The 16,957-nt window shown below is 34.1% G+C and overlaps 1 long non-coding RNA gene across 1 annotated transcript in view; it reads right to left on the bottom strand.

The window, feature by feature from the left end:
• Positions 1 to 234: 234 nt before the first annotated feature.
• LOC105375473 (uncharacterized) overlaps positions 235 to 16,957 on the bottom strand; it is a 66,227-nt gene continuing 49,504 nt past the window's right edge. The window contains exon 10 of the long non-coding RNA XR_927909.2: positions 235 to 290. This is a non-coding gene — a long non-coding RNA (uncharacterized LOC105375473). The remainder of the gene's footprint in view (positions 291 to 16,957) is intronic.

Here is a 16,957-nt window from a genome sequence, read left to right as displayed (position 1 = left end):
GCAAAGGTGTAGAAAAAAAGGAATCCTTGTACACTATTGGTGAGAATGTAAATTGGTGCAGTCATCATGAAAAATAGTACAGAGATTTCTCAAAATATGAAAAATAGAACTACCATATGATTCATCAATTCTATTTCTGTGTATGTACCCAGAGGAAATGTCCATCCTGAGCAATTACTGAATGTTAACATGGCTTACATGAAATTAGAAAGTGAGTTCGGAAATGGAGATGCCCTTTTATCTTCAAAGGACGTCTTTCTTCCTAACCTCAAGGAATATTTTGTAAGCTCCTGGAAGACAGATAGGCAATAGTCAAAACATGTCAAGAAATAATAATTACTAAATGATAAGTGTAATCTTCAGTAATACACAAATTCTATATCTTGTAAAGTCAACCTGTGTGAGAATATTTAATGTATACTAACATGTACATCACCTCACATACTTACATTTTGTGGTGAGAATATTTATGTGTACATTTTTAAGCAATTTTCTAATATACATTATTATTATTAACTGTAGTTATACAACTATTGTGCATTTCTTTACTCTTATTTTTATATTTTTCAGATTTATCTATCATTCCATGTTTGTATACATATATGTGTGCATGTAAATCCATGTTTAATTTTATATTTTGAATGTCAAAGAAATAATAAGAATTATCAACTATTTGGCAATGGGTATAAAATTTTAGGACTATAATATAGCCATTCCTTTTATAAAAATTCATGCTAGAATATTATGGAAACATCTTAAACACATTATAGGTAATTTTGATTTCTTAAATAATGCATTCTGAATGCAATGCACTTTTAAAAAATAATGTCCATTGTCTGTACTCCTCCTTATTAATTCTAGTTGTTTAATTTGTGTCATAAAAATATGGAGCGTCTTTACAGAACTCTATACAACAGCCTTCTAACTCTTTAGTTTGCCATGTTTTTCTCCCATGCCAAAATTTCCTTAGAACCCCTAAAGTGATCTTTTTATAATACAAAACTGATTGCCATTTATGTTTAAAATAAAACAAAAATTAAACGTTGTCAATTGAACATTGACTAAAGTCTGCATTCCTTAATAAGATATACAAGATTCTCAAAATTCTTGTATCTTAACTCCAACACATCATTTTGAATTTTCCATTAATCTTGCAATTATGCCTCACATCCCAGCTTCATTAAATGCTTCAGTTCACCAAGTGCATTTCATTATAACAAATATTTATTGGACATCTTTTTTTTTTTTTTTTAAAAAGCAATTCCACTAATCATTTATACATATTCTCTCTTTTGTTTAGAATAATCTTTTCCACCAGTCAATGGCTGGGAACTCCCTTTTGATTTTCATTACCCAGTCCCATACTCCAGTATTAGAAAAATCTTGTTCAGCTCCCTCCTCGGAAATTTCAGAACATTTCCTCCTGCTTACTTGATGATAATTGTTTATTTACCTATCTATATCCTTGTGGGATGAAATGACTCTTCTCATTTATAACTGAGTTATAGCTGTTATAATTCATGGTTTTGTTAGTGATTTGAGGTTGAACTGAGGGAAAAAATCAAGTCTTACATATTGAGTTTTGGGTCTTCCCTGAAAGTGGAATAATTCATGGTATTCATCAATTGAAGAAATAGTGTACAACTAAACTAAGAAGGAAACCTCTAAGTAAACTTGGGAGAGAGAACTACAACTCTCATTCTCTCGATAATCATTTTACAAATCAAAGATGTCTAGCACATTGCCCCTGCCTGAGATCTTGTGTAGTGGTTACTTCCATGCAGATAATGGACAGGAGCTGAGAAGAAAAGCAACAAAGCTCCTGAAATAGTTAGGGGTGGAAGAGAACAAACCCTAACGGTAATTGGATTAATATGGGACTTTCAAGCTTAGAGTAAAAAATTATGTAAGATTAGAAGTATATACCTTTTTAAACAGCTTTTTTGGGCATTAACTACATACAATAAAATATATACCCACTTTGTCCATGTTCAGTAGGTTCTGTCTATAATGCCAGAACTTTGGGAGGCTGAGGCAAGAGGATCACTTGAGCCTAGGAGTTCAAGATCAGACTGGGCAACACAGTAAGACCCTAACTCTATAAAAATTTTTAAAAATACCCAAGCATGGTGGCTCACACCTATGGTCCCAGCTACTCAGGAGGATGAGGTGGGAGGATCACTTGAGCCCATGAGGTAGAGGCTGCAGTGAGCCATGATGGTGACACTGCACTCCAGTCTGGGAGAGAGTGAGACCCTGTCTCAAACAAACAAACAGAAAGAATCACCATTTTAAGTGTACAGTTTAATGATTTTAGTAACAGTCATACAACCATTACCAGAATCCAGTTTCAGAATTGTATCCAACTGTGGCCAACTCCTGCTCCAATCCTAAGTGCCAAGCAACCTCTGATCTGTTCTTTTTGTATAGATTTGCCTTTTCTGGGCATTTCATATAAATGAAATTATAAAAATATGTAGTTTCCTGTTTCTGCTTTCTTTCACTAGCATAATGTTTTCACATTCATATTGTAGCATGTATCAGAAGTTTATTCTTTTTGTCATTGCTATATAGTACTCCATTGTATGATAGATCACATTTTATTTATCTGTTTAGGTGTTTCAATTGTTTCCAGTTTGGGGCTATTATAAATAATGCTATTTTGAACATTCATGTATATGTCTTTGTATGAAAATATTCTAATATACATTATTATGTATAATATTATGTATAATAATAGTATAATTATTAGAATATTTAGAATATTTCATACATGAAATATTTCATACATGAAATTATGGGTAGATTCCTAAGGGTAGAATTGCTTGTTGTATGATAAGCTTATATTTAACTTTCATGAAACAAATAAATTTTTTTCCAAACTAGCTGGACATTTTAAATTTTTATCAGCAAAATGTGAGACTTCCTGTTTCCCCATATCTTCAACAACACTTGTCTTACTGATTATATCAATTTTAGTGGGTGAAGTAGAATCTTACAGGAGTCTTAATTTATATTTCCCTTTTTACTAATGTTCAGCATTTTTCATGTGCTCATTAGTCATTCTTATATCTCTTTGGTGAAAATTCTATAAAAATACTTTGCCTATTTTTAATTTGGGTTGTTTATCTTATTATTGAGGTGCAAAGATTCCTTATATAATATCCTGGATAAAATCCCCTTATAAGATGCATAATTTGAAAATATTTTCTCTCACCTTGGAACTGGTCTTTTCATTTTTTAAGTATACTATTGAAGTACAAATGTTTATAAATTTTATGAAGCCCAATTTATTGATATTTTTTGTTATAGATGATGCTAAAATATCTTTGCCTAATCCAAGGTTACAATAATTTTCTGCTATTGTTTCTTCTAAATATTTTATAGTTTTAGCCCCTACATTTAGACTATGATTCTTTCTGGGTTAATTTCATGTATGACAGCATGTAAGAGGCTATATCCAGCTTTGTGCCAATGGATATCCAATTACTTCATCACCATTTGTTGAAAAGCCTATCATTGATTGAAAATGAATGCATCATAAATATGAGAGTTTCTTTCAGGATGCTTAATTCTTTCATTGACCTATATCAGTGGTTCTCCATTGGGAGTTACTTTTCTCCACAAAGGATATTTCTCAATATCTGATATGGTTTGGATGTTTGTCCCCTCCAAATATCATCTTGAAATGTGATTCTCATTGTTGGACATGAGGCCTGGTGGGAGGTGATTGAATCATCAGAGTGGGTCCCTCCTGAATGCTTTAGCCTCATCCTCTTGATGATAAGTGAATTCTTGCTCAGTTACTTCATGTGAGATCTGGTTGTTTAAAACAGTCTGGGACATCTTTCTTCTCTCTCGGTCCTGCTCTTGCCATGTGATATGCTGGCTCCCCTGAACCTACCAGTATGAATGCAAGCCTCCTGAGGCCATCACTAGGAGCCAATGACATGCTGGTACTCTGCATGTATGGCCTGCAAAGCCAGGAGCCAAGCTAAACCTCTTTTCTTTATAAATTACCCAGTCTCACGTATTTCTTTATAGCAACATGAAAATAGCCTAACACAATGTCTGAAGATTTTTTTTATTGTCATTACTTGGGGGTGAAGGCTAGTACCAAAGATGTTGTAAAACATCCTGCAAAGTACCACTTCTCAAAAAAAGAAGCGTTATATGCCACTGAATAAACATGTATATTTAATAATATGTACATTACATTATCCAACGGTAAAATATGCATAATCTAGTGTCAGTACACACTGTGTTGATAACCATCCCTTGTAATAAGCTTTGAAACTAAAGTATAATGTCTCTCAATTTTGTTATTATTTTCAAAATTGTTTTAGTTATTCTGGGTTTTTCTCATTTGCATATAAAATGTAGAGTCAGTTTATTTCTGAAAAAGGAAACAAAAGCCTATTGGGATTTTGATTAGTGTTGCATCAGATCATTTTTGAGAGAACTGCCATCTTAATAATATTGGATCTTTTAATCCATGAATATAGAATGTCTCTCCAGTTAATTACATTTTCATTTATTTTTCTCAGAAATGGTTTTGTCATTTTCATTAAGCTTTTCATTTATATTTTTATTTCTTTTTTTGATGCTATAGAAAATGAAATTGTTTTCATAATCTTGTTTACAGATGTTCATTTTCACTACATAAACAGACAGTTATGTATTGCTTAACCACAGAGACATATTCTAAGAAATGTGTTTTTAGGCAATTTCATCGTGGTGCAAACATCACAGAGTGTACTTAAACGAATCTATATGATTTGGCCTACTGCATACCTAGGATATATAGTATAGTGTATTGCTCCTGGACTACAAACCTGTACAGGCTGCTATTGTGCTGAATGCTGTCAACAATTATAACACAATAGTAAGTATGTATGTATCTAAACATATCTAAAAATAGAAAAGGTACAGTGAAAATGCAATATAAAGTATAAAAGAATGGTACACCTGGGCCGGGCGCAGTGGCTCACGCCTGTAATCCCAGCACTTTGGGAGGCCGAGGTGGGCAGATCACGATGTCAGGAGATCGAGACCCTCCTGGCTAACACGGTGAAACCCCATCTCTACTAAAAATGCAAAAAATTAGCCGGGCATGGTGGCGGGCACCTGCAGTCCCAGCTACTCGGGAGGCTGAGGCAGGAAAATGGCGTGAACCTGGGAGGCAGAGCTTGCAGTGAGCTGAGATCGCGCCACTGCACTCCAGCCTGAGGGACAAAGTGAGACTCCACCTCAAAAAAAAAAAAAAAAAGGTACACCTGTGTAAGCTACTTACTGTGTATGAAGCTTGCAGGAATGGAAGTGACTCTGGGTGAGTCAGTGAGTGAGTAGTGAGTCAATGTGAAGGCCCAGGACATTACTGTACACTGCTGTAGATTTTATAAACACTTCAACTGTCTTGTAATAATACGTAGCTTAAAACACAAACACATTGTACAGCTGAAAAAAATTTTCTTTACATCTTTATTACATAAACATTTTTCCATTTTCAATGTTTTAACTTTTTAAAAATTTTTGTTAAAAATTAAGACACCAGCATACACATTAGCTTAGGCCTACACAGGGTAAGAATCATCAATATCACCATCCCCTTGTCCCACTGGAAAGCCTTCAAGGGAAATAACATGCATGGAGGTGTCAACTCCTATAATAACAATGCCTTCTTCAGGAATACTTCCCAAAGGACCTGCCTGAGGCTGTCTTATAGTTAAGTTTTTTTTAATAAGTAGATGTTCACTCTAAATGATAAAAAGTATAGTAAACACTGTGTTAGCCTGTTTTATGCCACTAATAAAGACATACCCAAGACTTGAAAATTTACAAAAGAAAGAGATTTAATAGACTTATAGTGCCACATGGCTGGGGAGGCCTCACAATCATGGCAGAGGAGCAAGTCACGTCTTACATGGATGGCAGCAGGCAAAGAGAGAGAGAGAGCTTCTGCAGGGAAACTCCCATTATTAAAACCACCAGATCTCACGAGACTTATTCACTATCATGAGAACAGCATGGGAAAGACCCACCTGAATGATTCAATTATCTCCCCCCAGGACCCTCCTTCCTACAATACTTGGGAATTATGGGAGCTACAAGATGAGATTTGGGTGGGGACACAGAGCCAAACCATATCACTGTGTGTTAGGAAATTTCAGCTCCATTATAATTTTGTGGGACCACCATCATATATGTCATCTGTCACTGACCAAAAACATCATTATGTGGTCCATGATTATATAAATAAGTTTTATATATGAATGTTGTGTTTTGAAAATTTGTTGAATGTATATATTAGACCTAGTAGTATTTTTTCTGTATTTCTTATACTTTCTATGTACAAGATCATATTGATTGTAAATTAAGACAATTTTACTTTCTTTTCAAACTGCACATCTTTTTCTTTTAAAGTCATTGCATTTTATTTATTGTGTAAGAGCTTTATTGAAATATAATTCACATACCATCATATACATACTATTAAAGCATACATTTCAGTGCTGTTTGGCATATTCACAGAGCTGTGCAACCATCATCACTATCAAATTCCAGAACAGTTTTGTCACCCCAAGAAGAAACCCCATGCCTATTAACAGTCACTTCTCGCTTTCTCTCCCCTCAGCCCCTGGAAACCACTAATCTTCTTCCTGTCTCCATTCGTTTGCCTCTTTTGGTATATCATATAAATTTAATCACATAATATGTGGCCAATTCTGTCTGGCTTCTTTCAGTTAGCAAAATATTTTCAAGGTTTTTGCATGTTGTAACATACATCAGGAAACCAACGACTGAAGAACATTACATATATCTGTTTATTCATTCATCAGTTGATAAGCAATTGAGTTACTTGTTTATTATAAGTAATACTACTATGCATATTTGTGTACACATTTTTGTGTGGACATATGTTTTCCATTTTCTTGGGTATTTACCCAGGAGTAGAATTGCTGCATTACATGGTAATTCGGGCTTTAAATTTTTTAGGAATTGGCAAACTGTTTTAGTTTACCATTTTGCATTCTTACTATCAGTGTATTAGTATTCTAGTTTCTCCACATTCTTGCTGACGTTCATTACTGTCCATGTTGTTTTCATTATGGCCATCCTTGTGTATGTGAAGTGACATCTCACTGTGGTTCTGATTTGCACTTTCATAATGACTTATGATATTTAACATCTTTTAATCCCCTTATTGGTCATTTCTAGAATTTCTTTGGATAAATGTCTATTTGAATCCTTTCCCCCCTTTTTTTTTTGAGACAGAGTCTTGCTCTATCGCCCAGGCTGGAGTGCAGTGGTGCAATCTCCGCTCACTGCAACCTCCACCTCCCAGGTTCAAGCAATTCTCCTGCCTCAGCCTCCCGAGTAGCTGGGACTACAGGCACATGCCACCATGCCTGGCTAATTTTTTCTATTTTTAGTACAGACGGGGTTTCACCATGATATTGATGATCCTTACCCTGTGTAGACGTAAGCTAATGTGTATGCTGGTGTCTTAATTTTTAACAAAAAATTTTAAAAAGTTAAAACATTGAAAATAGAAAAATGTTTATGTAATAAAGATGTAAAGAAAATTTTTTTCAGCTGTACAATGTGTTTGTGTTTTAAGCTAAGTATTATTACAAGACAGTTGAAGTGTTTATAAAATCTACAGCAGTGTACAGTAATGTCCTGGGCCTTCACATTGACTCACTACTCACTCACTGACTCACCCAGAGCCACTTCCATTCCTGCAAGCTTCATTCACAGTAAGTAGCCTACACAGGTGTACTTTTTTTTTTTTTTTTTTTTTGAGATGGAGTCTTGCTCTGTCGCCCAGGCTAGACTGTAGTGGCGCAATCTCGGCTCACTGCAAGCTCCGCCTCCCAGGTTCATGCCATTCTCCTGCCTCAGCCTCCCGAGTAGCTGGGACCACAGGCACCTGCCACCACGCCTGGCTAATTTTTTGTATTTTTAGTAGAGACGGGGTTTCACCATGTTAGCCAGGAGGCTCTCGATCTCCTGACCTTGTGATCTGCCCACCTTGGCCTCCCAAAGTGCTGGGATTATGGGCATGAGCCACCACGCCCGGCCCCCATTTTTAAAATTAGGTTATTTGTATTTTTTATTACTGAGGCATGTCTTAGCTCAGTCTGTTATAACAAAATACTGCAAACAAGGTGGCTTACACAACAGAAATTTATTTCTTACAGTTCTAAAGATTGAAAAGTCCAAGGTCCTGGTCCTAGCATGGCCAGGTTTTGGTGCAGTCTCTGTTTCTGGCTTGTAAATAGCCACCTTCTTTTTGTATCCTCACATGTTAACAGAAATAGCAAACACCCTGGTATCTCTTCTTATAAGTGATTGAATAACATTACGAGAGTCTCACTCTTATGGCCAAATCTAACCCTCATTAATTCTGTATAGGCCCTATCTCCAAGTATATTCACATTGCATGTTAAGGCTTCAAAATATGAATTTTAAGGGGATGAAAACATTTAATTCCTAATGAGGTATGAGTTCTTAGTATATTCTGAATACAAGTCACATATCATATATATAATTTGTAAATATTTTCTCCTGTTCTGCATATGGCCATTTGTCCAATGGAATTCATTAAAGCACAAAGGTTTTTAATTGTCATTAAGTGCAATTCAACTTTTTTTGTACCTTGTGCTTTTGTCATCATATGTAAGAAAATACTGCCCAATAACCTAAATTCTGGAAGATTTACTCCTATAACTTCTTCTAAGAGTTTTATATATTTTTCTTTCATGTATGTGTATGATTTAAGTCAATTTTATATGAGTTACTTTTTTAGTTTACTTTTATATATGATGTAAGACATAGTACAATCTTGCTTTTTTGCAGGTAGATAACCAATTGTTACAACTCCATTTGTTGAAATGATTATTCTTTCCCATCTGATGAACCTTGACATTCTTGTCAAAAAATGGTTTACCATGGAGTCAAAGCAAGGGTTGATTCATGGACTCTGAATTCTATTCCATTGATCTATATGTATATTCCTATGCCAATAATATGTGATCTTGTTTATTATGGCTTTATAGTCAGTTTAGAAATAGAAAATATAAGCCCTTCAAATTTGTTCTTCTTTTTCAAGATTATCTGACTCTTCTGGATCATAGCATTTTCATATGAATTTTAATATCAGTATGTCAATTTCTGTAACAAAGCCAACTGGGATTTTGATAAAAATTGCATTGATTATGTAGATCAAGTTGATGAGCATTGCCATCTTGACATAATATTAAGTCTTCTGATGTATGAACACGAGATGTGTTTCTATTAATTTAGAAATTCATTAATTTCTTAAAGATGTTTTGTAGTCCACAGATGAAAGTCTTGCTCTTCTTATGTTAAATTAATAACTTTTATTTTTGATGCTACTATAAATGGATTTATAGTCTTAATTTACTCTCAGATTGTTTCTTGCCCGTATATGGAAATAAAATTTATTTTTGTATATTGATCCTACATCCTGTAACCTGATAAACTCATTTATTAGTTCTGATAGGTTTTTTTAGTGAATTTTCAAAGATTTTCTATATGCAAGACCATGTCTCTATGAATAGAGATTGTTTTATTTCTTGAAATCTGGATGCTTTTTGTTTATTGTTCTGGCATAATTGTTCTAGCTAGAACCTCCAATACAATGTTGAATACAATTGATAAGAAGAGACATCCTTGTCTTGTTTCTGATCTGAAGTAGAAAATTTTAAGTGTCTCAATATTCAGTACGGTGTTAGCTGTATGTTTTTTATAAATGTCTTATCAATTTAGAGAATTTGCCTTCTTGGTTTATTGAGTGTTATTATCATGAAAAATAATGGATTTTGTCAAATGCTTTCTCCACATCATTTGAGATTATCATATGAAGTTTCTGTGAAGCTGAAAATGTCTTAATTTCTCCTTCTTTTATGAAACATAGTTATGTAGATAATTCTTTTTTTACAATAGTTTGGTTTTAACATTTTTAGTATGTCATTCCAATGCCTTCTCGTTTCCATAGCTTCTGATCAGAAGTTAATGTTCATCTTATTGAAGACTTTTGTCCCTGATGAGTTGTTTCTCTTTTGCTGCTTTTAAGATCTATTGTTTTTGAATTTGACAGTTTGATTATAATATGTTTAAATTTGGACTTGCTTAAATCCATAGTACCTGAAGTTTTCTTTTATTTGTAGGTTAATATTTTTCTTCCATTAGGAAGCCATTGGTCATTATTTATTCAAATATTATTTTTATTTTATCTTTCTTCTCTCCTTCTGAGAGTCACATTATATATGTGTTAGCACAGTTATGATGTCCTTGTGGGTCTCTGAGGTTCTCCATTTTTGTTCATTCATTATTATTTTCATTTCTCAGACTGGATAATTTTGATTAGCCTGTTCTTAAGATCATAGTTTCTTCCTCCTGCCTGCTCAAATATACTTTTGAATCACTCAAGTAAAATTTTTAATTTCAATTATTTAACATTTTTACTTCAAAATTTCAATGTAGTTCTTTGTTTAGAATGACTTTTAACTTTTTTGCTATTGTTTATGTAATAAGACACCATTCTCATACAATCCTTTATGTATTTATTTATTTATTTATTTTATTTATTCATTTAAGACCGTGTCTTGTTGTGTCACCCAGGTTGGAGTGCAGGGGTGTGATCACAGCTCACTGAAGCCTCAACTTTACCAGGCTTAGGTGATCACCACAGCCTTCCAAGTAGCTGGAACTACAGGCATGTGCCACCGTGCCCAGATAATTTTTATTTTTTTTTTTGGAGAGATGGAGTTTTGTGATGATTTCCCAGGCTGGTCTCAAACCCCTGGGCTCAAGTGATCCACTCATCCCAGCTTCCCAAAGTGGTAGGAGTATATGTATGAGTCATCATGCCCAGCCAATCCTTTAGTTCTTTACACATGGTTTTGTTTAGTTGTTTGAACATATTTACAGTAGTTCATTTAAAGTATTTGTCTAGCAAATCTAATGTCTATACTTCCTCTGGTACAGTTTCTGTTAATCTTCCCTCCTACACACTACATGGGTATACATTCTGGTTTCTTTGCATGTCTTGAAAATCTTTGAAACTGAACACTTTCTATAACTTAATCTGACAACTCAGTATTAGACCACCCAGCCAGGGGTTGCCATTGTTGCTATTTGTTGTTGCCACTTGATGTTTGTTTAATTGTTTGATTACTCTTCTGGACTAATTCTGCAAAATTTGTATGTTTTTAATTTTTAAAAAACTTTTAATTGCTATGTAAACACAACTATTGTACTTATTTGTGGAGTACATGTGATATTTTGATACAAGCATACAATGTGTAATGATCAAATAAATCAGGGTAATTGGGGTATCCATCACCTCAAGTATTGATTATTTCTTTGTGTTAGAAACATTTCAATTCCATTTTACAATTATTTTGAAATATACAACAACTTATTGTTAACTATATATTCTGTATGTGGCTTCTGACATCTCTGCTTGGTTTGCCTGATGGTCATGTAATAATTGAACAGAGTTTTTCTCACATGCCTTGAACAAGTAAGTCTATGAATCTTTGCTAAGTGGCTCTATGTTAACGTTGAGACATACCTCCAATGCTTGGTTAGGCAATTTAAACTTTACCTTTTCCTTCACTGCCTCTTTTCATGGTTATTGTGATAGTCAAACTGTTGGGTTTTTTTTTTTTTTTTTTTTTTTTTTTGAGATGGAGTCTCGCTCTGTCGCCCAGGCTGGAGTGCAGTGGTGCAATCTTGGCTCACTGCAAACTCTGCCTTCCAGGTTCACACCATTCTCCTGCCTCAGCCTCCCGAGTAGCTGGGACTACAGGTGCCCAGCAGTGCACCAAGCTACTTTTTTGTATTTTTAGTAGAGACAGGGATTCACTGTGGTCTCGATCGCCTGACCTCATGATCCACCTGCCTAGGCCTCCCAAAGTGCTGGGATTACAGGCGTGAGCCACCGCGCCCAGGCAAACTGTTGGTTTTTGAGGCTAACATGAAGTGGACAAGAGAAGGTGGGAATGTGGCAAATTAAACCACCACAAAACATACTCTTCTTACCTAGATTCAGCATTTTTATCACAAATAAATAATGTTCAAATGGTTGCAAGACTTTTTTAATTTCCAGAATTCTCAATGATTTTGATTTTTTTTTTGCAAACATTTTTGTTGCTTTTATGGAGGAGTGGATTTTCAGAGATTCTTTCTCCACCCTTCAATAAGGAGATTCTTCCCTTATTTCTTGAGGTAAAAAGTTAGATTACTTATTTAATATCTTTCTTTTTTTCTATTATATGTGTTTATAGCTATAAAGTTCCTTTTTAGCAATGTTTTAATGGTTTCCTATAAAATGAGATATGCTGTGATTTGATTTCATTCACTTCAAAATATTTTCCACTTTTTCTTTTTATTTATTCTTTTATCCTTATGCTGTTAACAAGTGTATTGCTTAACTTTCAAATATTTGTGGATTTCCCAGATGTTGTTTTGTTGTTTTTTTCTAATTGTGATATAATCAGAGAACACGCTTTGCATGATTTCAAATTTTTCAACATATTTAGACCTGTTTCATGGTATAGTGTATGCTCTATCTTGAGAAATGTTCCACATGTACTTGACATAAATATATATTATGATTTTTTAGGTGTAGTGTTCTATAAATATCAGTTATATCAATTGGTTTGATACTATTTTTCAAGTATCTTATATTCTTACTAATTTTTGTCTTGTTTCTCTATTAATTATTAAAAATAGGTTATTGAAATCTACAACTATTAGAGTTGAATTCTCTATTTCTCCCTTTAATTACGTCAGTTTTTGCTTTATGTATTTAGAGTCTCTATTGCTCAGTGAGTATGTTTTTAAAATATGTATATATATATAATGCCCAATTAACTGACCTTTTTATCAGTATAAAATATTTTTCTCTTTCTCTAGTAATAGCTTTTTCTTAACGTCTATATTTTATTATATTTGCATGCACTCCCAGATCATGTATGTTTACTGTTTGCATAGTATATATGTTTGTCCATCTTTTTTGATATGGTTTGAATATTTGTTTCTTCCAAATCTCATGTCAAAATGTGATTCCCAATGTTGGAGGTGGGACAAGGTGGGAGATGTTTGGATAATGTGGGTGAATCCCTCATAAATAGTTTAGCACTATCCCGTTGGTGATAACTGAATTTTCTCTCAGCTATTTGACACAAGGTCTGGCTGTTTAAAAGAGTCTGAGAACTCCCCCTTCTCCCTCTCTTGTTCCCACTCTCACCATGTAATTTGGTGCTCCCCTTTGCCTTCCACCGTGGTTGTTAGCTCTCTGAGGCCTCACCAGAAGCAGATGCCAGAACCATGTTTTCTTTAAAGCCTGCAGAGCCATGAGCCAAATAAAACCTTTCTTTATAAATTACCCAGTCAGGTATTTATAGCAACACAAGAATGGACTTTTACTTTCAACCTGTTTTTGTCTTTCAACCTAAAATGTATCTCTTGAATATGGTATGCACATGGATCTTATTTTGGCTTAAGTACAGCCTCATATTCTCTCCCTTTTAATTAATTATATTCAGTGTAATTTTTGATATGATTTGCTCTATGTTTGCAAAAGTACTATTTGTCTTCTGTGTGTCTCATATCTGTTTGTTCCTCTTTTCCTTCTTTACTTTTGTAATTTGTATTAAATAGATATCTTCTAGTGTACCATTTTAATTTTTTTTCTGGTGTGTGTGTGTATGTATAGAAAACTACATATATATACATAAATATACTGATATGCATATATGATATTGACCATATCAGTATGCATATATTTATATCAAACCACATAAAAAATAAAGGTTGTCTGTAAAGGTAATCACAAAGGTAAATATAAATGACAGTATAAATACATTTGTCTCTTTTCTTAAGTGATTTAAAATAAAATTATATAAAATGAAATCTTAAAAACTGATTTGATAAGTCTATATCATAGTTATAAAATTAGAGCAATAGAAGCTATTTTGTTTTGGATTTTTGTTGTTGCTGTTATTGTTTGTTTCACTATCCAAGTTTATATTTTTTAACAAAGATCCTGGGCATGAGGTTTTTCAAGGCTTCTCCAAATCAAGTCAGTGCCCTGTAACATCAATATCCTTCATTTTCTTGGCCTGCCTTGTCCTGGTATAACTACTGCTCTGAAGGAAATGAGTGGTGGGTAGGAGTAGTCATGGGCTAAATTGCAGTAGATTTAACTGTGTTTTACCTGAGATTCATTATCTTTTTAAAAATAAACGATTCTTAATTATTTGTAGGCCTGTGATGAATTTCAAGATTTCTATCATGGTCATTTTTAACAATTTTGTTTAGTTTTATCATTTTTGGTGAGAGGAAGAGGATTCACTGAGCCCAGCTCCACCAAACTAGAAGTTCTTCCTTAGGAATATGTGATGGATATTAGAATAGGATATTAAATTTAGGAAATTGAACTAAATATTTGTGTAATTCATCATGTTTATTTCTAAGTAATTCTCCACTCATATTTAGAAAGGACTTTGTAATACCTCTATTTTGTCTCAACTATAAAGAGAGACCAAGTGAGGGGCCTTTTGTACCTACTTAATTTAGAGCTGCATTCTGGAAATATTTTGTTAGGGTCTTAGGTTAGTGCTAGCAGTAATAGAACTGTAAGAAACACAAAGAGAGATAACATCTAAGAGATGGAATTGGAGTCACTGACTTGGAGCCTTTTCCTACCCTGAAATTCTACTTTTCTGTTTGTTTATTTGTTTGTTTGTTTGCTTGCTTGCTTTCTTGCTTCCTTGGTTGCTTGTTTAACTCCCTACTAATCACCACTGACTGAGAAGTTTTCTAAATTTCTAAACCACCAACTGAGAAATTTTGACTTCATTTTCTTAGGGTGGTAGAAATTCATTGTCATTCTTACTCAACTATTGGTTTCTCTAGAATATGTATTAGGTCTACAGAGGTTTAATCAGTATATTGTTCTTACCGTTTTCACAGTGCCTGGCATATAGTGCCCTCTCAAGAAAAGAACATTAAATCAATAAGTGAGTACATCAGTAATAAATCTCCAACATGAACATGTAATATACTCTTCACTATATAAACATACTCTCAAAGGCTAATGAGGTAGGTACCAGAACAATGGTGTACCACAGAGGGCTTTTTTAAATTAATTAATTAATTTCATTATTGGTTTGACTTTCTGTGTCTCGTTTCTTATTTGGTAGAGTGCAAGTTATCTTTTTTTTAAAAGTTGATATTAGGAAATTTTCTCTTAAGAGTGGAACTAATTTACATGACTTTGGAAATACTGTTGTCACACTTTTATGAGGAGTTAAAATGTTCTACATAAAGCAAACTTAGAGTGGCTGTTTGACTATTTAGAAGTTCTTCCCTGATCTTATATTTTTGTCTGAATATTTTAGATTGCCAAATTAATGCTATATTTGTTAGTGAGATTTGATGAAGCATTAGTGGTTAAAGGTAAATATGTAATATATGCTTCATTTAGGAAGCTCTGAATTATTAAAAAGGCCAAATATTAGTAGTGATAGTTGCAGTCATCTGTTCTTCATTCCTCCTGCACAATTTCATTAGTAGATAAGGCTATTTTGTGCTCTTGATATAGTAAAATTACTCACTCTTTCCAAATGCCAGAGATAGGGATTTAAAAATAATTAACATGAAAAACTGAAAATAATGAATCTTTGTTTTGTTTCAACTACAAAGACAATCATTTAATAGTTTATATATAGATTTCTTTACTTCTTGTAAGTAATGGTAGATGCCTGTACACATCAGAATGTTGGCTCACCAGATAGGCTAGGTTTGCTGAATTTATGTGTCATTGCTGATCCATCTGAAATACAAGCCACCATATGTCAGTTTACTTATTGAAGCTGGAAAAGAATCCATTATAGAAAATAATTTTAGATATACAATCATGTCATCTGCAAACAGGGACAATTTGACTTCCTCTTTTCCTAATTGAATACCCTTTATTTCCTTCTCCTGCCTAATTGCCCTGGCCAGAACTTCCAACCCCGTCGTCTCAGCCCAAAATCTCCTTAAGCTGATAAGCAACTTCAGCAAAGTCTCAGGATACAAAATCAATGTGCAAAAATCACAAGCATTCTTATACACCAATAACAGACAAAGAAAGAGCCAAATCATGAGTGAACTCCCATTCACAATTGCTTCAAAGAGAATAAAATACCTAGGAATCCAACTTACAAGGGATGTGAAGGACCTCTTCAAGGAGAACTACAAACCACTGCTCAAGGAAATAAAAGAGGATACAAACAAATGGAAGAACATTCCATGCTCATGGGTAGGAAGAATCAATATCATGAAAATGGCCATACTGCCCAAGGTAATTTACAGATTCAATGCCATCCCCATCAAGCTACCAATGCCTTTCTTCACAGAATTGGAAAAAACTACTTTAAAGTTCATACGGAACGAAAAAACAGCCGGCATCGCCAAGTCAATCCTAAGCCAAAAGAACAAAGCTGGAGGCATCACACTACCCGACTTCAAACTATACTACAAGGCTACAGTAACCAAAACAGCATGGTACTGGTACCAAAACAGAGATATAGATCAATGGAACAGAACAGAGCCCTCAGAAATAACGCCGCATATCTACAACTATCTGATCTTTGACAAACCTGAGAAAAACAAGCAATGGGGAAAGGATTCCCTATTTAATAAATGGCGCTGGGAAAGCTGGCTAGCCATATGTAGAAAGCTGAAACTGGATCCCTTCCTTACACCTTATACAAAAATTAATTCAAGATGGATTAAAGACTTAAATGTTAGACCTAAAACCATAAACACCCTAGAAGAAAACCTAGGCATTACCATTTAGGACATAGGCATGGGCAAGGACTTCATGTCTAAAACACCAAAAGCAATGGCAACAAAAGCCAAAATTGACAAA

Source organism: Homo sapiens, chromosome 7 (genome assembly GCF_000001405.40).
Source record: "Homo sapiens chromosome 7, GRCh38.p14 Primary Assembly".
Taxonomy (NCBI): Eukaryota; Metazoa; Chordata; class Mammalia; order Primates; family Hominidae; genus Homo; species Homo sapiens.
The sequence above is the reverse complement of the archived record's forward strand: the minus strand, read 5'-3'. Positions and strand labels throughout refer to the sequence as shown.